Consider the following 25377-nt stretch of genomic DNA (forward strand, 5'->3'; position numbering starts at 1 on the left):
GAAATCTTGATGAATGCTGTGGTGGTATACAGCACCTGATGTGAAAATCAGGAAGGAGAAAGGACTTCTTCAATATTTTCTTTATCTATAGACACAGCTTGAAATGTCTATAAATTTCTATTAATGTTATGTACTTGGCTCTGCAGGAAATGATATTTAAGATTAGTTGAAAAAAAGGTTTTGCTGATGGTAGAATTTAAGGGCCTTTTGGTTTCTTGGTGACCAGGTGTTTTGCAAATGAACAGAGAGCCAAGGGTGGCGCAGTAGTTTTCAGGTGACTCAGGAGGTAGCTTGTCTGATTCTTAAGGTAAAATCGAGATTTGAAAGCATTGGTGAAGTAAAGGATAATAAACTACTTCTTTATATCATGAACTTTTTTTTGAATCTTACAGTTTCATTACTGGTATGATTCATAAGTCACCTGCCACCCATGGACAGTACTCATAAGGAAAATTGCCATATGATGCACCAACTAGGTGTTTATGAAAACATAAAAGATTAAAAGCACTGAAACTAAGTTGGTATCATTTAGGCCCGAGGCATGTGGGTATATATTCCATTAGCCTACACCACTACTCATGAATGAAGTGCTCTTGATCTGACCAAGATGCTGAGGATTGTTTTCTAGAAACAAATCTTGACTGCACTTACTAGAGTTACAGCTTTTTCCGTATCACGATAATCCATTTTCAAAACCCATTCCTTCACCTCAAGGCTGTCTCAGACACATGCTAGTTTAAAAGGGGTCACTGGCGTGGAATCAATTCTTTCCAACTGTCCATCCTTTAGTAAACATTTATTGAGCCCAGACTGTTTCATAGAGATGGTGGATTTGTAATGACTGTGGGTTGAGCCTGTTCTCCTAAGTTGCCCAAGTGTACAAACCTCTGTTACTGCTCAGGGCTTGTTGACACAGACAAAAATGCTAATACTTTATGCGGTTTGCAGGAATTGGCTTCGTTTGGATTAAAAATAATGAAACTCTTCCAGAAACTTTTCAGATGATTATACAGTATGCTCTTCCATGAAGTCCTTAAGAATAAGTTAGTATTAAGACAACAGTCAGCTTGAAGGTGGATCTGTCCCTCCCTCCCTTACTGAGGTCTTTCTCAGTTTTACAATTTTCTGCTCATACAGTCCATGAACATCAGAAACATACTATACATGTCTTTTAATGGACATATTTTTCCCTGGTTTCTTTTTTATAAAGGAGTTTTGTAGAGGGAAAATAGCCAATCAGAAGCACATAGTAGATATAGATCTCTACTCTTTTTTTTTTTTCTTTTTTTTGAGACGGAATATTGCTCTGTCACCCAGGCTGGAGTGCAATGGTGCAATTTCGGCTCACTGTAACCTCTGCCTCCTGGGTCCAAGTGATTTCTCATGCCTCAGCCTCCCTGAGTAACTGGGATTACAGGCACGTACCATCACACCAAGCTAATTTTTGTATTTTTAGTAGAGATAGGGTTTTGCCATGTTGGCCAGGCTGGTTTTAAACTCCTGACCTCAGGTGATCTGCCTGCCTTAGCCTCCCAAAGTGCTGGGATTCCATGCATGAGCCACTGTGTCCGGCCGAGATATATTTCCAAAATGGCTTTTTATTGCTTCTTTTGGTTTTATTCTTCAGGGAGAAACAGCTACAAGGAATCTATTTGAAAAAACAGGCTTGTAATTGAATTGGGTTTATTTCATACTATAAACTCCTGAGTTTTTTTTGTAATGGTGCTATTTTTAAAATTGTGCATATATATTTGGGACTGTGTGTATATATTAATGTAGGCTAGTCCGGAAAGCATTAGGATTGGTAAGAGCTTTGGTTTAATGCCTCCTGAGACCTGGGACAAGAAGCAGTTTTGTGCAGAGGCTCTGTCTTTGCCAAGTGTCACCTTACTCCCGCTGAACTAATAATGGATGGATTTGGATCCTAACAAGTGAGATAATAATTTTTAGACAAATGCCTCTGGGTGTCGAAGTGATAGGGCCGCCCACCTAGCTATTTTTAAGTATCTTTTTTTGGGAGACGATCTTAAAGGCAGTTGGGCTCCAAAAAAACGGAGAACCAAAGTTCATACAATCTCTTTGTCAGCCTGTTTGCAATGGATCAAGTCCTTTAAGAGGAGGAACTTAAAACCGTCCTTGTCCTTGTGATTTCAGAAGTGATTCCTATTCTAAAGTGGACATTGGAGGAGGCTCTGTTAAGCCATGTAAGTACTATAGTAAGCAGATACTCACCTGGGCTAAGCAGAGAGCTGGGGTATTTGCTCTTGTCGGGGAGAGGGCCAAGTTATGTAGAGTAGTCCCATGTTATGCTTTGGGGCCATCAAAATACACTTTGGCACTCTGGTCCCAAAGAGCAAGGGGGTGGCTCTCTTGGTACCACCCATAATCCTGAGGGGACATCTCTGGCTATCTGGTGAAGGCCTGGTAGAATTTTTTCAGAGTAATTGGACAAGATTATTTTATGTGTATAGAATTAGTGAAGTGACTGGAGCAGAAGGCTATTTTTTACTTCATTCAATCATTATCAGTACAAATTTATTGAGCTTGACCATGGCCACTTAATTCTTATGTAGAAAGGCTGGCCCTTTAGAGCAGCCCAACCTGGGCCCAGCACACACATCATCATGGTGTCAGTGGAAGGAAGCCCACTGAACTGGAGCGTGTGACTCCTAAGGACAGTATAGTCTCTGAACTGTGTCTGTATTGAGGAACCATTGCTCCAAGATGTGTATTTTCTTAAGTCCTCAATTCTGAGCATATTTTATGGAGGAAGGAATTTCCTAAGTACTCCCTTTTTTTTTTTTAATTAATTATTTTTCAGATGGAGTCTTGCTCTGTCTCCCAGGCTGGAGTGCAGTGGCACGATCTCAGCTCACTGCAAGCTCCGCCTCCTTGGTTCATGCCATTCTCCTGCATCAGCCTCCCAAGTAGCTGGGACTGCAGGTGCCCACCACCACGCCCAGCTAATTTTTTGTATTTTTAGTAGAGACGGGTTTTCACCGTGTTAGCCAGGATGGTCTCGATCTCCTGACCTCGTGATTCTCCCGCCTCGACCTCCCAAAGTGCTGGGATTACAGGTGTGAGCCACCATGCCCAGCCAGTACTTCTTATTTTACCCATCTGAATTGTTTGTAGCACTTAAACCCACTGCCTAAGGGGCAGACCCTTGAGAAGTTAGCTTGGTAAATCAGATGTTCACCTTGGAGCAGAACATTTATATTTCACAGGCTGATAGGAATTGGGTGTCAAGGTTATGGGGTCAACAGAATGAAACATTAAACATTCCTAATTCTTGTTTCTTTTATGTATGTGGGTCTTTGAACACACTTTGTCTCTGACAACATCACAGGAGGAAAAACACCCCAGCATCCCACAACTAGATGAATGTCTTGACGTGAATAAAAGCATTAACGTTAGAGCTAGGAAATCGTGTGACCACATGATTTCTATCTAAGGCTTCTCTCTAGCTGTCACCTTGAGAGTTTGTCCCACTGGGAGAAACCGGAGAAACAGAAAATATGTCCTTTGGAAACTCAAAGGGATTTTTAATCTCTAAAAACATGAGATTTTTGTCTCAAATACAAGCATATTTAATCCATCCTTTCATGTCCCCCATATATACATCCCACACCCTGCTTAATAGGAATGTGACTTCATTTTAGGGACTGGACAACTGAACAATCTGTCTTCCAGGGTCTGTTTCCCCTGAAACTGGTTTAGTGCTGCCAGGTAGGGAAGTCTGCTCTTCAAGGGTTGCCAGGTGGGGCAGCTGGGGATAGTAGGCTGGCACTGGGGAGGGTGGAGCTGGGTCTGTCAGCCCTGCCACCCATTGCTGTGGTTTATGCTCTGGGAAAGATGGTCATCTTCCTGCATGTACTGTGCTGCGATTCTCACGCCAGTATCTGCACCCCCTTGTTCTCAGCTCTGCACCATGTGGGTTTGACAGCCTTCATGAGGCAGGCAGACGTGTTGGCGTCATGTGGGACTCCTCGGCTGTGTCTTTCTGCCACTAAATATGTTGTCGCTTTCCCCCTCCAGCATGTCATATACCTAGCTGCCTTTGGAGAGGCCTCTTGGCGCTCTCAGGAATAACTACCGAAAGAGCAGCTGTCTGTCAGCCTCCTCCAGAGCCGTCGGCTTGGGCTGTTGTCAACCTGTTGTTGGAGGAGTTCCCAGAGCAGCAGACTTAACTGCCATTGACATTTATAACTCGAAAGCCATATCACAGATGACTTTACATTCTTTGTAATCCTTTAAATAGCCTTCAGCGTATAAAGCACGTGGCCTCTACACGCTTTCTCCACCTTAGAGAGTGAGGAAATAGTTGGATCATCCTGAAGGTGGTGAAGTGGCTCACTGTTCTCCCCCACCCAGGTTATAAATCATCATCTCTCTTCTGACTTAGGTAGGAAGAAGTTGTCCTGGCTTTATGCTTAGATTTATGTGAGATCATACGAAGTCAGTTTAGACTGGGGAAGAGCATTAGCTTCTAAGCCCAAATGAGCCTTTACCTCTAGCAGCCACAGAGCCTGTGATAAGAGGGTGTCCCTGGGAATTGGATGTCAGGAAACGTTTCTCACATGGCCAGTGGATCTTGTGTCTGGTCATTTATGTCCTAGTTTCTAAGACAGCCTGTTTTTACATCTCATTTCTTAAGACATAACTGGAAGAGAAAGATGCCATGTTCCTGGTACAAGTAAAAATGAAAGCCACCTCAGTGGATCTGAGAAACACATACTGCCAAAGAAAGTAGAGAAAGGGCAGAATTGGAATGGATTTAGTTACTGTGGGTCTGTCTAGACATTATTTGAGGGCTAGCGCTGGCTTCACTCACCTCTATGCCATGCGTGGCTAGTGCCAGTGGCTGGCACATAGCAGCATATGAGCTGAATGAGTATAAAGCAGTCTAATTTTTAGGCAGTAAAAGTTTTGTTTCATTTTATTTTTACCTGGGTAGCACAGACATTGAAATGTGTTAATCAACAAATGCAGAGTATGAGATTAAAAACTAATGACATTTTCCTGTTGGCATCAAAGACGAATAATTTGAGACAAGTCATGGGAACTAGATGGCAAGTCTTAAACATGATAAAATAAAGCACCTTCATTGTCTCTGCTCAGATTTCTTCCTGTGCTTCCCAGGATGTTGGTCAGTCATATCTTATAAAAGGCCAATGCCTGATCTTGGCTGGGGTGCATAGCTTGCCTAGCGTTGGGCAGAAATAGGCCTCTTGAGCCGCTTGATGGTGACCATGGGCTTTGGCAAGATTGTTAGCTGAGGAATGTTGTCACCTCTTCTGGGTGCTTTGCCTGTGATGCATGTCAGTATCTCATCTCAGTCCTCATTCTCAGAGCCTGGGAAGTGGCTCAGAATCCCCACGGTTGCACTCTAGATACCACTGCCCATTGACAGAGTGGCGAGGTGGGTGAAACCTTGCTTTCCTCCTGGCCCATGGGCAGGGTGGGGCTGTGGGCCAGCCCATATCTCCCTACCAGGGAGTATGTGTCCGGGTGTGTGGAGCAGCAGAGCAGTGTTCCTTCACCTGCAGTGTCCAGTTCTGCTGCATCTAATCAGGATTCTGGTTCATGGCAAGAGATTTTCATGTTTCTTTGTCTTTCCCTAGAAAATGTCTAAATATTTTAAATATTTCAAATATCCACACAAGTACAGAGAGTGAATAGGGCAGGCTCTTATGTACCTACCCCTCCATATTCCCTGCCTTTCTGATCTTGCTGCTAATATGTCTTATTAACTTTGGAAGATATTTGCTTTGGCTTGTGTTAAAATTACTGTTATTTTGTCCCTGGAAGTTCTGAAATGTGTGGTTGGCCTGGGACTCAGACCCATCAGGAACTCTAGTGTACCTCCTGTCTGAGGAAGGTTGGCACTACCTGGATCCACCCTTAGCTACGGGTTCCTTTGTTGTTAGGTCACTGCCATCTATTTCCCCTCTTAATTCAGTTTCAAGGAGCCATGAGTGTGTGAGAGAGAATCCCCTTCCTCTTTCCTCCCTCCTCTTCCGGCTAGTTCAGGACTCCCCTGTGATGGGGTAATTCAGTGGGTCCCACTTGGCGGAGCTGATGCTGTCTCCACATCCTGTTCCCTTCCCATAATACTTCATCATAGTTGATGCCACTTTGTGAATAATTTCTCTTTTCTCTCCAAGCCAGGTTTGGGATTTCTCCATGTGTGTCCACCTCCCTGGAAGAAAGGGGTGGAGGCCGCTTTACTTTGTCTTTGGGGTTGAGAGTGATGGATAGATGGCATCTGTCAGGCAGGTGGAGGTGCTTCCTCAGGTTAATTAATGTGGGTAGGACCCACAGACAGGTTTCTCCTTCTTTCTTTTAACTGGCTATTTTCTGGGAGCAGGGTCCTGGATTATTTTATGATAGCTTACAATCATGTTGTTTTATGACTAGTCATCCATTTAACTGTTTGTTTTGGCCAGATCCTCAGGATGGCTTATAGGAATTGGTGCCCATGGCTAGCACGTTGGAGGGGCTGGGGAAGGTTAAGACTACTGTTTACAGAGAGAGGTACCACCTTGAGAGGAAGGCTGAAGGGGGTTGCTGGGCCAGAACATGGAGGAGAGCCTCCTGAGAGTAAAGCAGGAAGGATTGGGAAGGGGGTGTGGAGGCCTTGGGAATTGGCTGAAGAGTTTTGGGACTCTGGGAAGGAGGAAAAATAGTTCTTAAAAATTCTAGGCTGGACACAGTGGTTCACGCCTGTAATCCCAGCACTTTGGGAGGCCGGGGTGGGGTGGATTGCGAGGTCAGGAGTTCGAGAACAGCCTGGCCAACGTGGTGAAACCCCTTCTCTGTTAAAAATACAAAAATTACCTGGGTGTGCTGGCATATGCCTGTAATTCTAGCTACTCAGGGAGGCTGAGGCAGGAGAATCGCTTGAACCCAGGAAACGGAGGTTGCAGTGAGCCGAGATCACACCACTGCACTCCAGCCTGGGTGACAGAGGGAGACTCTGTCTTAAAAAAAAAAAAAAAAAAAAAAATTCTAAACCATCAAGAACTGATAAGAATAAACGACTAGAAAAATGACATTTAAAAAGTCTATAATACAAGCCCCTAATTTTATTAGATTCAAAGACATAATATTACCTTAGCAAATTGCTATAAAAGTTTCTAGAACACTTACACTCAATTTCAGTATTGATCATAGAGCAGAAACAAATACTTGGTGGACTGGCAGTGTGCTGCAGGCTCCCCTTGGAGTGGCACTGACCTTTGAGAGGTGGGTCTCAGCTCTTTTCTGCCTTTGGATGCCTGGAGGCCCACCTTGACCTCCAAGGGTCTTGGTTTTTAGGCTATAGGATGAAAGTGGTGGTTTAACAGGTCACTGGTCTCCCGACAGGACATGTGGGACCAGGAACAGGTGCTTGTTTCTGAGCCTTTGCCCAAGTGGGTTCCCCTTAGGGCTCCTTCTGGAAGGGACATGCTGCAGTTATCTCATATACCCCCTCAGCCACCATGACCAGATATCTGACCCACTCATTTGAAAGGCACGTGTCCTGTGATAGGGACCTCCTGTAACAAATGAACCCGTGTGTGTGTGTGTGTGTATGTATCTCTATTTATAGTAATCTTGCATCTAGTGTAAGTTTTTTCTTGTTCATAGTTTTAGGTTGATAAACAGTTCTATGGGATGGGAGGGAATGACCTCTTTAAAGAACTTCTGTAGCAACCCAGGCTTTAGGCCTTGACTTTTTGAAAACAGGTTCTCTAGGTCATCCTGCTGTAACTGTCATTCCAGCCCACAGGCCTGGGGGGATCTGATGGAGGAGCCAGCATGGAGGTTTTTAGGGCCGGGTCTGGCTGTGGTTAGCGTCACTTTCTACTCGCATTCCATTGCCAAGAACACAGTCACCTGGTCACCCCTGGCAGGGAAGCGAGGTCCAGCTGTGTGCCCAGGAAGATGACAAGAGTGCGGATTTCAGTGAGTAGCTGGCATTCCTCTCGCCTGCCCTTTCCCGTTCTTCTGATTCACTGATCAGAATCTTACTCACTATTGCATTCTTCTGTCCAAATGAACTGATTTATTAATCTATTACGCCTGGGCATGATGATGGTCAGGCATGAAATTTTTATGCACTGGAGTAAGAAACAATGGAAAGCAGAGAATGGAAGTTGCCTCAGAATTAATGGCCAGTGCTCATGCAGGCTCGCAGTCAGCAGCACGGAATGGCCGATGCTGACAATGAGAGTGAATTGGCGATGTGCCATAGGCTGCATTTGGATTTTGTTTAAAAAGTCAAGGTATTTATGAGTTGAGAGTAGTGCTCGGTTCTCAAAAAGTACACAGCACTTAAGCAGAGGGAAACTGCATAGGTGTATCGGTGTGAGGCCAATTGGTAGCCCATGATGAAATGTGGCAGAGGTAATGTAATGTGATTTAAAAAACTTAAATAGCTGTAATATTTGCATAAGTGTGCTTTTTTTCTTCGTGCAGTGGTGAATTAAAGACAAAACCAGTTTTGTTTTGTTTTGTTTTTTTCTCTCAAAAAAAAAAGAGGTGAGATTTTGGGAGTGAGTTTGGGAGAGATTCTAGGCAGGAAACTTTTAGGCTGTAAAAACATCTAAAACTAAAACTTCTAAAAATTGCTTCTAGAGCCAGTGTTTCATAGGGCATGAATCAGGAAAACTAGACTAGGCATTTCTAACAGATTCTAATACAGATAATTGCATATTTAGGTGATGAAAGAGGAGAGTTACCAGACTGTTACAGCAACCTAGAGATTTGTAACCTCAGGAAGATGTCCACCCCCAGGACTGTGGAGGCAGGGTGGTGGGGGTGGCAGCTGATGGAAAGGGCATTGGGTCCTTTGGAGAGAGCTGTCTCCCTAGAGAAGGTTATCCCACCCAGCAAATGGAGTTGGGAGAGAGACCCAGGCACCTTCCCCTCCCAGCTTCTGATGGTACCTCCCACAGGCCAGCACTACTAGAAACCAGGTGGCAAGGGAGCTTGGGAAATGTAGTTTCCTGTGATATTTGTAAAAGGACAAAGTATGCAGAGAATGGATTTGAGAGCAAAAAGGCAGATGGCTGTGGCACAAGGATTATAACGTTGGTGCAAAGGAAGATAAGTCGAGGAGTAAGAGATTGCTCTAGGGAAAGAACTTGAATTCTTGATTCCCTTCCCCCGTGCCACATTCCTTTGTGGCTTTGTTAACACCTGTGTCCTCTCTTCATGTTTCTGTCATGCTCTTTACACTGCATGATATTTACATATTTGACTCCCTGTTAATAACTAACATTTACTGAATGTTTCCTGTGTGCTTTATCTGCATTAATTCATTGACTCATCAAAGCCATCTGTGAAGGCAGGTATAGTCCATCTTCATTATTCTCAGATTTCTGTATTTGTGAATTTGTGTCCTCATTAATACTTATTTGTAACCCTGAAATCAATACTCTGCACTTTCCTGGTCATTCATGGACATACAGAGTAGAAGATTTGAGTTGCCTGGTGTCCATGTTCCCAGCTGCGGATGAACAAGGCCTTCTTGCTTCAGCTCTTATATTGCAAATAAGTGTTCTTCTTCTACCTGGTTAGTACCGTGTTTATCCTTTTTTTGTGCCTTTTTTTAAAAAAGTGATTTTACTGCTTAAAATGGCCCCCAAGCATAGTGCTGAGGGGTTGTCTAGTGTTATTAAGCACAAGAAGGCTGGAGAAGGCTGCGATGTATCTTAGGGAGAAAATACGTTTGCTAGATAAGCTTCATGCAGGCGTAAGTTGTAGTAGTGTTGGCTGTGATTTCAGTGTTAAAGAATCAGTAACATAAGGTGTCGTCAAACACACACATCAACTATGCATTGATCAGTTGGTGAAAATGTTGTGACCAGGGGCTCGCGGGTACCCAACCCTGTATCTTCTCTAGGAGCAATGTTTCAGGATTCACTAATTCAGTGTTTGCAGAGACTTTATAGAACAAGACCATTCTGGGCACTGCAAGTTGGCTGTCCTATTATCAGCTTATAGAGACTGAGGCAAGTAGAAGTCTAGAAGTTGTCCAGGGTCACCCGTAGGATCGGAACCCAGGCAGTCTGGTCCCCAACCCTTTATTCTTCCCTGTTCTGCTTTCTTGCCCTTCATATCTGCTTCATGCTCTTTTACACTTCTGAATCTGTCAGAGGCATTTGAACGAGAGTAACTCCATCTTAAATAGGGGCTAAATATGAGAGTGAGACCTGCCGGGCTGCATTTCCAGGAGGCAGGGCATTCTTAGTTCACAGGATGAGGTAGGAGGTTGGCACAAGATACAGGTCACAAAGACCTTGCTGGTAAAGCAGGATGCAATAAAGAAGCTGGCCAAATCCCACCAAAACCAAGATGGTGATGAAAGGGACCTCTGGTCATCCTCACTGCTCACTACAGGCGAATAATAATGCATTGCATGCTAAAAGACTCCCAGCAGCACCGTGACAATTTACAAATGCCATGGCAATGCCCAGAAGTTATCCTATATGGTCTAAAAGGGAGAGGAACCTTCAGTTCCAGGAGCTCCCCACCCCTTTCCCAGAAAATATTTCACTACTTGTTTAGTATATAATCAAGAAATAACTGTAAGTATACTCAGTCCAGCAGCCCATGCTGCCGCTCTGCCTGTGGAGTAGCCATTCTTTTGTTTCTTCTCTAATGAACTTGTTTTCACTTTATGGACTCACTCTGAATTCCTTCTTGTGGGAAATCCAAGAACCCTCTCTTGGGGTCTGTATTGGGACCTCTTTCCAGTAACAAATCTGCTGCGGATGCTGCTGGAACCAACTCTAGGGCTATTTTTAATACTCAAATTCCTCTTGGTAAAGTCAACAGGTACCACTGGTTTACCAGGATGTTTGTAATCCTGGTGTAAAACCATGTATTTCATAGGATCAGTTCACACAGCAACGCTATGAAGCATGTGTTACCTTTCATTTCAGAAATAAAAACTGAGGTCTTGGAAGGCTGTGATTTGCTTAGGGTTCCATGATTAGAAAGCGGCAGAATGTGCCTCCAAATGCCTCACTCTTGTTACCATACCAAGGCTGGCTCAGGACTAGGCTCTGTGAGGACCGCACTCCTGCCCTCACCACGGTTCTCATCTGCCGCTTCTGTTCTACTTTGACCTGACCTGGAGAAAGCACATAATGTTAGAACTGTGTGTAAAATAAGAGATTCCAAGAAGGAGACCAGGAATGTTTTCTTTAGGGGCCAGGAGTTTTTTCTGTAAAATGCCCATTTCCATGTTTACAGAAAATCTTTTATAGGGTGGAATAACCTTGGAAAGATGTTAATTTGTTTTTCTTTTCAAGGGGCACATTTTTGAAAGAAAACAAAGGGAAGATAATTTGAAAGAGCTGCAGATACTTTCTCAGCGATACCCTGTCTCGCCTAAACATTTGTTCTCATTTCTTCTCTAGTTTCCTTTGTGTGTTTAAGTGTATTTATTTGAATAATAGATATACATGTTAAGAATTCAAAAGGTACTTTGAAGCCTTCCACCCCAGAAGTAAGCAATGTACCTGATTTCTTGTGTACTCTTCCAAAGATGTTCTAACAGTGACTCTCAACCAGGGACAATTTTGTTCTCCATGGTCATTTTTACATCTTGGTGGAGGTTGGGAGAGTGTTACTGGCAGCTTCCAGTAGGTAGAGTCCAGGGATGCTGCTAAACATCCTACAATGCACAGGACGGTCCCCACAGCCAGGAATTATCCAGCGTAAATAGTAGTGTTGAGGTTGAGAAACCCTGCTCTACACTCATGTAAACCGGAAGGGCTTACGTGTGTCCACAAGAGCTTTTGTGCCTAAACTTGTTTTTCTTGTGTGGTTGGGAGGTTTTTGTTGGTGTGGTTCCTTTTGTCTCCTGAGGGTGGGGCAACGGAAAAGGTCCTCCCCAGGTGCAGCTGTTGTGAGGGGACACATTGTCTGTAGAGACTGAAAACAATCTGACCTCAGCCAGTCTGTTTTTTTCTTTTCTTTTTTTTTATTACAATGCATGTGCAGTTCTAAGCTGGTGATAAAATACTTCCTGAAAAATCTTTGGTTTGTCTAAATTCTAAATAATTGCTACTGTCACTAATTACATATGTATAGATAAACACATATATATTTATATATACACCTCAGATTAGTACACTTCTTACACCTTAATTATTGCATGCCACATGAAAGCTAATTTGGAGAACTCCCTATTACACAGTTGGTCCCAATGCACATGGACTCAGCTCCACACTTCGCCTTGAGTAAATTCCTGTTTAGAATTGTTGGAGCTTCCTCTAGGTGCAGTTCACATCTCTAACCCTTATGGTACAATATGCTCTTGTGTTTAGAGATTTGTAATAAAAAATGATAGCACAATTTAAGGTGAAGAAACAGAACTTGAGTTTCTTCACTTCCCTCATTGTGTGTGATCACTAGGAGATTTTATGTGTGATTAAAATGTAAAACGGTGAAGAAGTGAACTGTGAGTATAACATCTGGTTAAGTGCATATGGTATGCTTTGGTAGTTCATAGAAGAAATATAATATTGAGGCTCAGAAATAACTTTAAAATTGACACTCTTTCTAAATAGTTGTTTTCAAAACTAAAGAATGATTCAAAAGGATGTTATGATTATTGATCATTACATGATTATTAGAAATAATTTTGTATGGAGGAGGGAATTTCAATTAGTGATCTGACCTGTTGTCATCTATGATAGCTATATGCCATACATAGGATGGTTGAGATCTTTAAGAGAAATGAGTGAGAGAATGAAAGCAGGCCCAATAAAACAATATGTTATTTCTGTTGATCTGTGGCATCTGTCCGCAGGAAACTGGTGCTCTTTTAAATGCTACATAGAATTGAAATTCTGACCCATGATGGTCTTTGTGAGAGTAGACCAAACTCTACCCTTCATCCTCAGTATTTTAAGACTTTGTGTTGATTGATACATTTACACAAAGAACAGTGCACACATCATTGGTATGCAGCATGATTTACAACCAAACACACCTGTGTTAGGAGTACCTAGGTGGAGAAACAAAACATGCACAGCCCTGGAAGCTCCTCGTGTTCCCGTTTCCGGTCACTGTCACCGCCACCCCATCACAAGCGTACTTAATCACTGCATTGACTTCTAACAGCACAGGTCAGTTTCACCTGTTTTTCTTTGTTACATAAATGGAATTATATAGTGCATGTTAGAAGATTAGTTTTTTTTTTTTTTTTTTTTTTTTGAGACAGAGTCTCCCTTTGTCGCCCAGGCTAGAGTGCAGTGGCCTGATCTCAGCTCACTGCAAGCTCCGCCTCCAGGGTTCACGCCATTCTCTTGCCTCAGCCTCCCGAGTAGCTGTGACTACAGGCGCCCACCATCACACCTGGCTAATTTTGTTTTTGTATTTTTAGTAGAGACAGGGTTTCACCGTGTTAGCCAGGATGGTCTCGATCTCCTGACCTCGTGATCCACCCGCCTCGGCCTCCCAAAGTGCTGGGATTACAGGCGTGAGCCACCGCACCTGGCCATAAGATTAATTTTTAACCAATTTCTTGGTTTTGATTCTAACTGTTGATATTTGAAATATTCCCAAATGTGGCAATTAAACAAACTGGGCAATTTTCAGTGGTAGAGTCACAAAAATTCCTTGTTCCATGCATGGGTTCACTAATCATAATATTGTTCTTCAAGGTAGTAAAATTAATACGGTTGCTTTCATAATGAAGAAAACAACATAATTACGTCACTCGTTGGGCTTTAGAACTTTATTTGGAAGGAAGATAATATAGAAATTAGATTTGTGTTCATGTATGGATTGACGCAATCAAGTTCATTTGAAGCTAGAGTAACTTACAAGCTTAAGATGTGACCAGTGAGCTGGGTACACTGTATAGAAACTTATCATTGGATTTGAGTTGGAAACAATAGCATTGCAGTGCAATCTTACTACATCAGTATATTATATTCTGAATACCATTTTCTGAGTAGTAGTAGTCTTGTCTATAGAAACTGAATGGATAGCCTGTTTAATAGTTGAAGTTTGGGCCAGGAGGAGCTGAAATTGCCCTTCATGCCATGGGGAAATGGAGCACTCAGTTTGAAGGCCCTTTGTAATGTGGAACTGTTAAATTCACTTTAAACTATTATTTTTAAAAAATAGGCTGTCTGCAGCCATCATCCATGGTGAGGATTTGTATTCTCCTTCTTGGATCTGTCACGGGCTGGCTCGCTCATGTTGAGCAAGGCGGCCAAGTTTGGAGCTTGATGTGGCTTCCATTGAGGTGTTACGTGGGCAGCAGGCCATGCGGGACATGAAAAACGTTTGCCATGCAGTTTCTGTTGGTCCCAGCCGAGACGAAAATGAACAGTTCTAGCAAAATTGCTAAGTCAGGGATGTTTGTCTCTGTAAAGTTGCTTTTTTAGCTCACTTAATTTTTTTTGTCTGTGAAAGCCTTTCTCTTTTTTAATTCTCCCCTTCAGTGGTTTCTAGCCATCGTCTCTAATTAAAATAAAGAATCTTAGCTTTATTTTTTGAAACTTATTTGTACCCACTTTCTAAATCTGCCTTTATTTTTTGCATTTTCCAGCCTCTGATGATGGAGAAATAATGGTTGCAAATAAAAACCAGTTCAGGAGGAAACTGTATCTGAGACGGGAAATGGATCATGTTGCTTGTGAGTTTCAGGGCTCTTCAAAGTCAGCCTTTGAGGACAGGAGAGTCCTGAGTCCTACTTGGCATTTCAGGCCCCTGCCCACTTTGGCCTCTCTAGACTTTCCTTGGCCTCTCCCTGCCTGTCTTTACATTCCAGCCTGCAGGGAAGGGTACCCTTGAGTGTGACTGGTGCTAGTTCTGCTCTGGGCATGTGCTCTTCTCTCTGCTGGGGATGCCTTCCCCACCATCTTCTCTTTGTCCTTCAAGGCTCCTTCCAGAAGCTAGAACTGATTCCTTTTTAGAGAAGTCTTCCTTCATCCTCTTGGATCATATGGGAGATGTTTCTTCTGTGTTCTTGCGATACTGTGTGCATATCATGCACTGCCGCATTTGCACACTGCTGTGAACCCAGGATCCACAATGGTGCTTGGCACGTAGTAGAGCCTCAACAGATACTTGTTGTAGTAGGGTACAGACACATCAGTAGATAATTATAAAATATAATTACTGATGTGTCTGTACCCTACTACATTTTGAGAGCAGAGAACATGACTGAGCAGAGAGCAGAGAGCATGACTGTTCACATATTCAGTGCCTGACAAAGGTGCTCAGAAATGTCTGCATCTCCATGCAAGGCTGGCCAGAGCGGGGACATTTCAGAGGCAAGGGAGACTTTTCTTTGCTCTGCAGTCATTTATTTTATTTCAATAGTTTGGGGGAACAGGTGGTTTTTGGCTACATGAATAAATTTTTTAGTGGTGACTTCTGAGATCTTGGTGCACCTGTCCCTTGAGCAGTATATGCCAAGTGAAGTAACTCAGGGATGGAAAACCACATATTATACGTTCTCACTTATAAGTGGGAACTAAGCTGTGAGGATGCAAAGGCATAAGAATGATATGATGGACTTTGGGGACTCTGGGGGAAGGGTGGGAGTGGGTGAGGGACAGAAGACTGCATATTGGATACAGTGTACTCTGTAGTCATTTATATTAAGTCTTGAGTCCTTAAGAGCAGAGCCTCATCCTGCAGCCCTGTGGTCATCGAGGGAATTCCAGAATGCTGAAGGATAAGAACTATGCCTTTCAATCCCCTATCTTTACCCCTCTTGTTTTCCAAATGGGAATGGCTTTGTATATATGAAGGTGCTGATGAAAGTGTTCGTGTCTCAGAGAAAATGCTTGACGTTGAGCTGATTACTTTGCTGATTGCTGATGCAGGAAAACATCAGTAAAAAAGAAACTTAAAAGTGGGTTATGTAAAGGCAGTGTTAATTATCATCCTTTAAAGGAGCTAATTGCCATTTTTACGTGATTACTGTGCAGCCAACAAGGGCCCTGTATGTTGCATATCTTGTTTCATTTCTGCAGTAATTTTGATATAAGTGCTTAACTGATTCAGGTACTGGGCCCCTAGATTCATATCAGTGATATTTTTTTCAGTTCCCAGAAAAAGAAATTAAACAACAGAATAGAGCTTTCCCAATTTTAAGACCATCTTTCCCTAACCTGCTCAATTTTTGGGCAATTGCTTATCTGCCAGTGAGTACCAACGAGTGGCAAAATGAATAACCAAGGAAAAATCCAGACCTTGTAGGGAAGAGGAGAGATGGAATGTTTTCTGCATTCTTTGGAGATGCAGAGGCTGCTGTCCACAGCATGGTTCTGTTTCCCCGAGTCCAATTGCTCCTGGTTCAGAAGAAGAGAATCCATGTTGCAGGATCGCCTGGTGTTCTGCTGAGAGCCTGTGATATTTGGGTTCTGCTGTCCTCATGAGGATGAGGAACCGTAGATTATGAATAGAGGCACCTGTGTGGGGCTTGGGGCTCGGGGCTCACATAGCATGACTTACTGTTTGCAACTTGAGGGAAAGAAAGCAAGAGAGAAGACTGATCCCAAATTGTCAGAAGACAGATTCCTCAATCCTGCCTGTCTCCCCAAATGGGAAAGAGCAGTTCAATGTGGAAGGGTCCAGTTAAAGCCCAGTTATGATTTTAGCCTAGAATGTGTCAGCCTTTTGTGTAGTGAGAGTTACTCTGGATGGAACACACTGTGCTGTCCTAGTGATGGGGGAGATTTTGCCCAATCTAACGGGCAGAGAGGAGGTGTATAAAGACTGAGCAGCCAGAGGGGATAGTCAAGGAAAAAGGAGCCCTGGAGTCGTTTCTTTTTTTTTTTTTACTTGGAATTTCTGCCCACCCATTTACTGGCAAAGAGGATTTGAGATGTCAGTGCCACTTACCTCAGATTTAGAGAAATTCATCAATTAAGGAGCACTTGTTGGCCTTTTTGCATACATGTTGGGTTGTCAAATGATTTTGTAGGGAGTCCATGTCTTCCTAGGGTCAGAATCGGAGCACGTTAATTGGAGCAGTTGGCTGAGTCTGATGGATGATGTTGCCTTCTGGGCTTAGCAGGTGACAGGATGTGAACCAGGTGTGCCTTGTCCCTGCCAGCTGGTGTGGATAGCATGGATGCCCAGGATTGTGGATCGTGACTTTACTCTGTATAACCGAGTCAGTGATGGCATCATCAAAGTCATTCATTCCTTCATTTGACATGCATTGATTGAGGTCCTACTCTGCACTCAGAATTGTTGTAGCCACTGGAGGTACAGTGATGAATAAAGGCAGAGGAAGAAACAGGTAAATCTGATGTCAGGTGGAGATTCAGGCTGTGAAGAAAAACCAAGTAGGGCAGGAGATAGTGCCGCGTGGGGAGCTATTCTAGGTTGGGTGGTCCAGGAGGCTGCTTGAAGGAGTGATGTTTGAGCAGAGTGCCAAGGCAGTATCCAAGGTGAAGAAAGTTCCGTGAGGAAGAGAGGGTACCTGCAGGGGCCTTGAGGCAGGAACAAACTTGACCTAGCTTGAGGGCCGTGTGGGTGGAGTAAAGGGAGCCAGGGGCCGAGTGTGGAGGGCAAGTAGTGCCCGTATATGGAAAGCCTTGCTGGGCAGGGCTCAGAATTTGGGTTCCATCATGATTATGATGGACGTGTGTGAAGAATTTTGAGCAGGAGGAGGTCCTGAGTTGATTGGATTTGTTTTTACAAGGATCATTCCGCTTGCATGGAGAATTGTCTGTAAGGGGCAAGAATAGAAGCAGATATCAGCTAGGAAGGTATGACAATCTTCCAGTGGAAGTGATAGTGACATGGACTCAGGTGAGGGGAGGGAGGTAATGATAAGGGGTTGGATGTATCCGTTGAGAATGAATTGGCCCCTCTCTGACTTTATCTCCTGCTACCTTCCCTATGATTTATTTCACTCCAGCCACACACGTTGTCTTTTACTTCCCCCAGATCTTTACTTGCTCTGTTTCTTTGAACTCTTACCATTTCTTGAAGTTATACACACATGTGCATGTACATGCACACACATGTATGTTTGCCCATTCCTTCTTTGTCTCTCCTTCTGGCATGTAAGTGTCATGAGGGCAGGCAGGGACTTTGTCAACTTTGTTGCTATGTCCCGAGTGTCTAGAATGTTGCTGCAGGCAGCAAATGTTCAAAATATTGATCGGATAAGTGAATGAAATTGAAAGGCCACCCACTGATCTCATTATATAATTTTTATTTGAAAAATTTCCACCGTGACTGCCTGAGGTTTTAATTGCTACACTAAACACACTGAAAACTTCAAACTGTATTATCAATTTAATAAAAATGAAGAAGTATTGAACACTTTAAGTAATAGGGAAAAATAAGGGAGAGGAGGTTTGTGTCAGCCGTGGAGAGATTCCGCCTGTGGTGAAAGAGACGGTGCTGAAAAGGAAAAACTTTGAACCTCTTCATTTATTGCAGTGAAATTTGTCACTTTTATTCACATCCAGTACCATCTAGCTGCTAATTTGTGTTTTTGTTGGAAAAGACTTTCAGGGAAATAGTTAACCTCCCTCAGTGCTGTGTTCTCAAAATTAGTTCTCCTGAGCTGCAGTCAAAGCTGGATAATTTTGCCATCAAAAAGCACACATTCTTCCCTAAGGAAATCGGCATGAGGCCATTCTGAGGTTGGAGAATGGGAGCAAGTGAGGATAGAGAGTAGTGGCTGTCCAAGGGCCCTCAAGGGTAGGCAGCCATAAGGCACAGCTTTTCCTGTAGACTTGTGGCTAAGGGACAGCCTCTAGGGATGGAGGAGCTTTTTCTTTGAATCCTGGCCCCTCTGCCATGTGGCCTTGCACAAGTCCCTTAACCACTTTATGCCTCAGTGCTCTCATCTGCAAAGTGGGAATGATACAGTACCTATCCTATGAGGTTGCTGTGATGATTGAGTTAATACATGTGGAAGGTCTTAGAACCATGTCTGGGGTAGTAAGTACTTAAAACATTTTAGCTGTTACTAAAAGGAAGAAGATTGTTGGTCATTAACAGTTGGCATAAATATTGGCAGGTAAAAGTTGTGTTATTTGGACCTGAGTGTTGAACTGGTGTGTAGCACTTGAATTAACTGGAAAAAGGAGGTGGTGGGGGTGTGTTCTGACACCTCCTAGTATACTACAATATAATTCTATTGTAACCACCCAGAGTTAGTGCAGACCCCATCAGTTAAAGGGTATGGTTCCCAAAAGGCTGTTCCCACTTCAGATGCCCACTGTAAGTGGGACTTCCAGGCCATTCACCCTTTTGACTGACTGGTTACAATCCAAGGGGTTCCCATGGCCTTCTTAGGTTTGATAATTTACTAGAATGAATCTCAGAACTCAGGAAAGCACTATATTTTCAACTATGGTTTTATTATAAAGGGTCTAAGTGAAGGTCAGTCAAATGAAGAGACACATGGGCTGATGTCTGGGAGGGTCGCGAATGCAGAGCTCCTGTGTCTTGTCCCTTGGAACTAGGGTGTGTCACCTGCCTGGCACGTTGATGTGTTTACCAACCAAAAAGCTCCAGTGAGCCTGGTGTCCAGTTTCTATTGGGGTTTCGTTACATAGGCAGGATTGATTGAGTACAACCACATGGCCAATGATTCAATTTCCAGTCCCCTCCTTTCCCCTCTCTGGATTGGGCTGGCTTAGAGCCCTGATCCTCTAATTGCATGGTTGGTTTTTCTGGTGACCAGACTCCAGCCTGAGTCATCTCATCTTAGTGTAAACTCAGGTGTGATCCAAGGGGTTTATCAAAAATAAATACACTCCTACTACAGCAGGTAGTCCAAGGATTTTGAACCATCCCTCTTCCCAACCAGGGGCAAAGGCCAGTCAGATTCTTTACTGTACAATAGGGAAATTATATGTGAGATAGCAAAATATAAGATGGTGGCCTGGGAAGGGCTTCTTGGGAGAAGTGGGCCCAGCTCTTTTCTCATGTTGGTGCTGCTGCTCTAATCCAATGTCAGGTTGGGTTTCTGGTTATGCAATAACATATGACTAACCTCATGGCTCTAGTTTTTTTTTGTTTTTTTTTTTTTTTTTTAAGACAGAGTCTCGCTCTGTTGCCAGGCTGAAGTGCAATGGCGTGATCTTGGCTCACTGCAACCTCTGCCTCCTGGGTTCAAGCGATTCTCCTGCCTCAGCCTCCCGAGCAGCTGGGACTACAGGTGCCTGCCAGCATGCCCAGCTAATTTTTATATTTTTACTAGAAACAGGTTTTCACCATGTTGGCCAGGATGGTCTCCATCTCCTGACCTCCTGATCCACCCACCTCGGCCTCCCAAAGTGCTGGGATTACAAGCATGAGACACTGTGCCTGGCCTCTTTTCCTTTTCTTTAGAATAACTTTATTTAGTCTCATGGCAATTAAGTTGTCTTCTGGAATTTTATGGTGACCTTTTACTAAATATACCACAAATACTGCTTTTCTGAATTTGAGTCTTTGGAGAATGTGGTTTTAAAACTTTTCTGTGACATTCTTTGGGAATCCACTGAGTTGCTGGTTATAAGGTATCTTTCTGGCTTTCAGATATGCCCTTCTGAATAAATGCACCCCAACTTTGGATGGACATGGGGTGCTGGCTTGTGGATGGGCAGGCTGTCTTTCTGCTTTATGCATCTGAAGTTCTTGGCCACTGAAGACTTGCAATCTGGTGATGGGCAGGCTTGTGGTAAGATTTTTTTGTGGTCTTCCCTGCTATCTCAGTTATTAGTGAACAGTCACCTGATTTTCCCATGTTTGATTTTTGTAGCAAGTGTGGTTTCTGTAGTTCATTTCTTTGATTTGCTGTTTTTCTCTTGCTACTGCAGACTTCTCACTTTCATGAATTTCACAGTACATGTTTGTCCCTGCAATTAAAGATTGAATGTTCCCGGGAGTATTTTCATTTTATCTGAAGAGTTTGTAGTCCCAGCTCCCTTCCCCACCACCCAACCCCACAACAACAAAAATTGTGTAGACTAGCATTACTCCAAAGGACTTGATGAGGATTTGATTGGAGCCCAAGTGGCTGGAGCACCCTAACTAGTTACAAAGCTCAAAGGAGGCCCTTTGTTTTCAAATCTCCTCTCCTTTGTTTTTGTTTTTTTCAGACAGTCTCTCTTTGCCCAGGCTGGAGTGCCGTGGCATGATCCATGGAACACTGCAGCCTCAACCTCCCCAGGCTCAGGTGATACTCCCACGTCAGCCTCCCGAGTAGCTAGGACTACAGGTGCATGCCACCATGGCTGGCTAATTTATGTATTTTTTTTAATAGAGATGGGGTTTTGCCATGTTGCCCAGGCTGGTCTTGAGCTCCTGTGCTCAAGTGATCTGCCCGTCTCGGCCTCCCAGAGTGCTGGGATTACAAGTGTGAGCCAGTGCACCCAGTCAGCTATTTAAAAAAATTTTTTTAGAGACAGAATCTTGCCAAGTTGCCCAGGCTGGTCTCCAATTCCTGGGCTCAGCCCATCCCCCTGCTTTGGAACGTTTCATGTTCCCAAGCCGAAACTGTGTCCCTCCCCGCCAGTCCCTGGCACCGTCTGTTCTTTTTCTGTATTATGTGCCTGGCACATAGTACGCACCCAGTACCTGTTGTGATTGTGATTTTTATTAGTAATAGTTGGTCGTACCTAATTGGCATGTGCTGTTTTAAAGTGACAATAAAACGTACACGACAAACTTTGAGAGCATGGGGTATTGTCATGGTTTGAATGTGTCCTCCAAAGTTCATGTGTTGGAAACATCCCAGTGCAATACTGTTTACAGGTGAGAACTTTAAGAGGTGATTAAGTCATGCAGACTCAACCCTCCTGAATAGATGAATGAGGTTATCGCGGGAGCGCGTGGGTTATCGCGGGAGCGCGTTCCTGATGAAAGGGTGGGTTCGCCCCCTCCCCCTACCCCCCCCACCAGCAGGTTCCAGATGGAAGGGTGGGTTCGCGCCGTCTTTCGCCTCCTCCTCCTCCTCCTCCTTGCGGGAGCGGGTTCCTGATAGGAGGGTGGGTTCGCGCCCTCCTCCTTCTGGCGCAAGTGGGTTTCTCATGGGAGGGTGGGTTCGCACCCTCTTCCTTCTCGCGCGAGCGGGTTCCTGATGGGAGGGTGGGTTCTCGCCCTCCTCCTCCTCCTCTTTCTCCTGGCGTGAGCGGGTTCCTGATGGGAGGGTGGGTTCGCGCCCTCCTCCTCCTCCTCCTCCTTGCGCTAGCAGGTTCCTGATGGTAGGGTGGTTTCGTGCCCTCCTCCTCCTCGCGCGAGCGGGTTCCTGATGGGTGGGTGGATTCGCGCCCTCCTCCTCCTGCTCGCGCCAGCGGCTTCCTGATGGGTGGGTGAGTTCACGCCCTCTTTCTCCTGCTCACGCCAGCGGCTTCCTGATGGAAGGGTGGATTCGTGCCCTCCTTCTCCTCCTGCTCGCGCCAGCGGGTTCCTGATGGTAGGGTGGGTTCGCGCCCTCCTCCTCGCGTGAGCGGGTTCCTGATTGAAGGGTGGGTTCGCGCCTTCCTCTTCCTCCTGGCGCGAGCGGGTTCCTGATGGAAGGGTGGGTTTGCGCGCTCCTCGCGCGAGCGGGTTCCTGATGGAAGGGTGGGTTCGCGCCCTCCTCGCGCTAGTGGGTTCCTGATGAAAAGGTGGGTTCACGCCTTTTTTCTTCTGCTTGCGCGAGCGGGTTCCTGATGAAAGGGTGGGTTTGGCTCCCTTCTTTTCTCTTCCTCCTCCTTTTCTCTTCCTCCTCCCATGAGTGTGCTCTTGCATCGTGGAGTGACTTGGCAAGAATGCCCTCAAATGCAGGCCCCTTGAACTTGGGCTTTCGCAGCCTCCAGACCTGCAAGAAATAAATCTCTGTTCTTTACTTGTCTCAGGTATTCTGTCATAGCAGCACAAATTGGAATGAAACAGGTATGTAGGCATCCTTATATCTTGCTAGCTATATCTTGCTAGTTTTGGGGATGTAAATCAGTACAATTTTACTGAAAGAAACATGGGATATCACTGCTACACAAGCCTAAAAATCCTCGTATTATTGTATCAGATAATTCCTTTGCTCTAAGGAAATATACAGAGGTATGATATACAAATGTAGGAGTGAAAGACTATTGCATTACTTTTTAAAATTTTTTTATTTTTTTATTTTTATTTTTATTACTTTTTTAAATAGAAAAATTGAACAAATTAAATGCCTAGTACTGTGGGATTATTTAAGTAAAACATGCAATTACTACTTAGCTTTTAAATTGTGGTAAAATATTTATCATGGGAAAATGTTTAAAATCTGTTGTGATATAAAAGGCTGTAAGAAAGCAAGCATAAATATAAGTGTATTTTTGTGATATATGTGTATGGATGATATACCATATATGGGAATATATATGGAACATACTAAAATTTTACCATCTGTAGGGAGTGGAATGATGAATGATGTTTAAAAAAATTTTTCTTTGTGGTTTTCCAGTATTTAATAAATTTTTTGTGATTGAGCAAGTATTTTGGTCTATTAGAAAAAAACAGTAATTTCACTTGGAAAAGTGATATTTTGATTGGCTCTGTGAGGTTACTTTATTTTTATTTTTATTTTTTATTTTTTTTTTTTTTTGAGACAAGGTCTCGCTATGTTACCCAGGCTAGAGTACAGTGATGCAGTCATGACTCACTGCAGCCTTGAATTCCCAGATTCAAGCAATTCTCCTACCTCAGCCTCCCAAGCAGCTGGGACTACAGGGACATGCCAACATGCCTAGCTACTTTATTTTGTAGAGATGGGGTCTCCCTGTGTTGCATGGGCTCATCTTAAACTCTTGGACTCAAGCAGTCCTCCCACTTCAGCCTCCTGAATATCTGGGATTATAGACATGTACCACATCCAGCTGTTACATGAGGTTAAAAGAGAACGATCCCCAGGGGGAGAACCTGGCAAAATGGGCCTGTTTATAGGGGTCCCCACCACCCAGTGGCTAGCTGGCTCTTCACACAGCAGCTGCCCTTGTGCCCAGGCGGTGGTGGACATGCCCCCTAAGCCCTCCTTCCTAGCCCTCTTGGGAGTCCCAACCTGAATGTGAGTGAGCCCCTCTGAGTTTTTTGACATCAGAGGAAACAGGGCAATCTCCCCTCTCTTACATACCCCAAATCTTTGTGTGTGTGTGTGTGTGTGTGTGTGTGTGTGTGTGTGTGTGTGTGTGTGTGTTTTGACAAGTTTCTAGCCCAGGCCCTGTGGGGTTTGCTGGGAGAGTGTTTTAATCAATCGCGATGAAAGTTGGCTTCTGCTAGATCCCATTTTTGGATCCCATTTTCCAGGCCTGTTAAATCTTCCTGGCACGCCTAACTCAAGACATTTATGTCCTTGTACTTTTGTGCATAAAATCTTAGAATGAGTAAAAATAAACTTGCCTGCTGCTCAGAATTGACCCTGAGCGATATATCTTCCGCTGGACACTGGTGCCAGATGGTATTGCACCTCCTACTGGGTTAATGAACAGGCATTTGCCGAAAACCTTGAATTGCTCTTGAATCATTCCATGCACTTTCAATACAAAACTCTGCCAGTGGCAATTTGCATTTGTTTCTTTTTCTCTCCATCTTTCTATTTTAGGAAGGAGAAAGAGGTGACTTTCTGGAATAATTTCCTGTGAATGAATTGAATTAGTTTTATTGCTAGTATTGTTATAAATCTGTATCCCTAAATAACTATGTTGTGCCAACTTGGGGGCACAGAGTAAATTTCTTCTCGGAGCTATCTGCAATGATGGCTTTAAAATACACTTCAACTTCTGCATTAGGTGGTGCAGGATGCTTATATATTAGTTTGTGGGGGTGGGGGCAGAAAAAATGGTCCTTGTGGCTTTAATACTACTGCTGTTACAGTTTTCCACATGTATTCTTGATCCTTTATTCTTACTACAACCTTGGACAGTTACAAGGGGGCGGAGGGTGGAATATTACCTCTAAGTCTACTTATTAGTCAGTATCTTGAAGATGAGATACGTCTGTGTGCTTTTCAGTAATAATAAGTGTTCGAATCAATCTAATCTTTTGCTCACACTCTAGGAAACAGATGATAGGGGGTGTTTAGAGTCCTTGAGTTTTGGTCCTGCTAGCGTGCATTCTCTCCCTCCCCCGGGAGGTCTAGATACTTCAAGGTAGATATAGAGAGTACTGTCTTGCTTCTGTCATTGAACCAGATTGTGAAATAATGCCCCCTTCACCAGGACTTTGGAGAGACAGGAGTGTTCTCCAAATCTGCCCTCACTTCATGTACTGTTCAAGGCCCTGGTGGAATATCTTCCATGAGCATTTGCGCCCCTTCTTGATATTTGGTATTTTGTGGTTCAGGTGGTTCATGTTGCTGTAAGAACCTCACTTCTGGAAGCTGATAATGCAGTTGAAGTTGGGTGCTCTTTTACTAATATCTAGTCTTTTCTC

The 25377-nt window shown here is 43.8% G+C and overlaps 1 protein-coding gene across 17 annotated transcripts in view, besides 1 other annotated feature; it reads left to right on the forward strand.

Moving 5' to 3' along the window:
* Positions 1 to 25377, forward strand: part of MGAT5 (alpha-1,6-mannosylglycoprotein 6-beta-N-acetylglucosaminyltransferase) — a 334687-nt gene that overhangs the window by 49652 nt on the left and 259658 nt on the right. For 3 of the 17 annotated variants that reach the window (XM_047444395.1, XM_047444401.1, XM_047444399.1), the window contains exon 2: positions 20521 to 20662. The exons of 7 other annotated variants lie outside the window; for them this stretch is intronic. The gene's annotated coding sequence lies outside the window, so the exon portion shown is untranslated. Of the gene's footprint in view, positions 7951 to 14563; positions 14651 to 20520; positions 20663 to 25377 lie in introns of those variants that run through there. 7 more of the 17 variants (XM_047444402.1, XM_047444404.1, XM_017004148.2 and 4 more) reach the window with 4 other exon arrangements.
* Positions 13712 to 13881: an enhancer, noted in NCBI's record as "experimental_52692 CRE fragment used in MPRA reporter constructs". NCBI's record gives its function as "activates a minimal promoter by MPRAs in K562 erythroleukemia cells, with activity observed for the non-introgressed 2:134940954 variant allele {active_cell/tissue: K562}" and the evidence as "EXISTENCE:reporter gene assay evidence [ECO:0000049][PMID:34662402]".

The sequence above is a fragment of the Homo sapiens genome, chromosome 2 (genome assembly GCF_000001405.40).
Source record: "Homo sapiens chromosome 2, GRCh38.p14 Primary Assembly".
Classification (NCBI taxonomy): domain Eukaryota; kingdom Metazoa; phylum Chordata; class Mammalia; order Primates; family Hominidae; genus Homo; species Homo sapiens.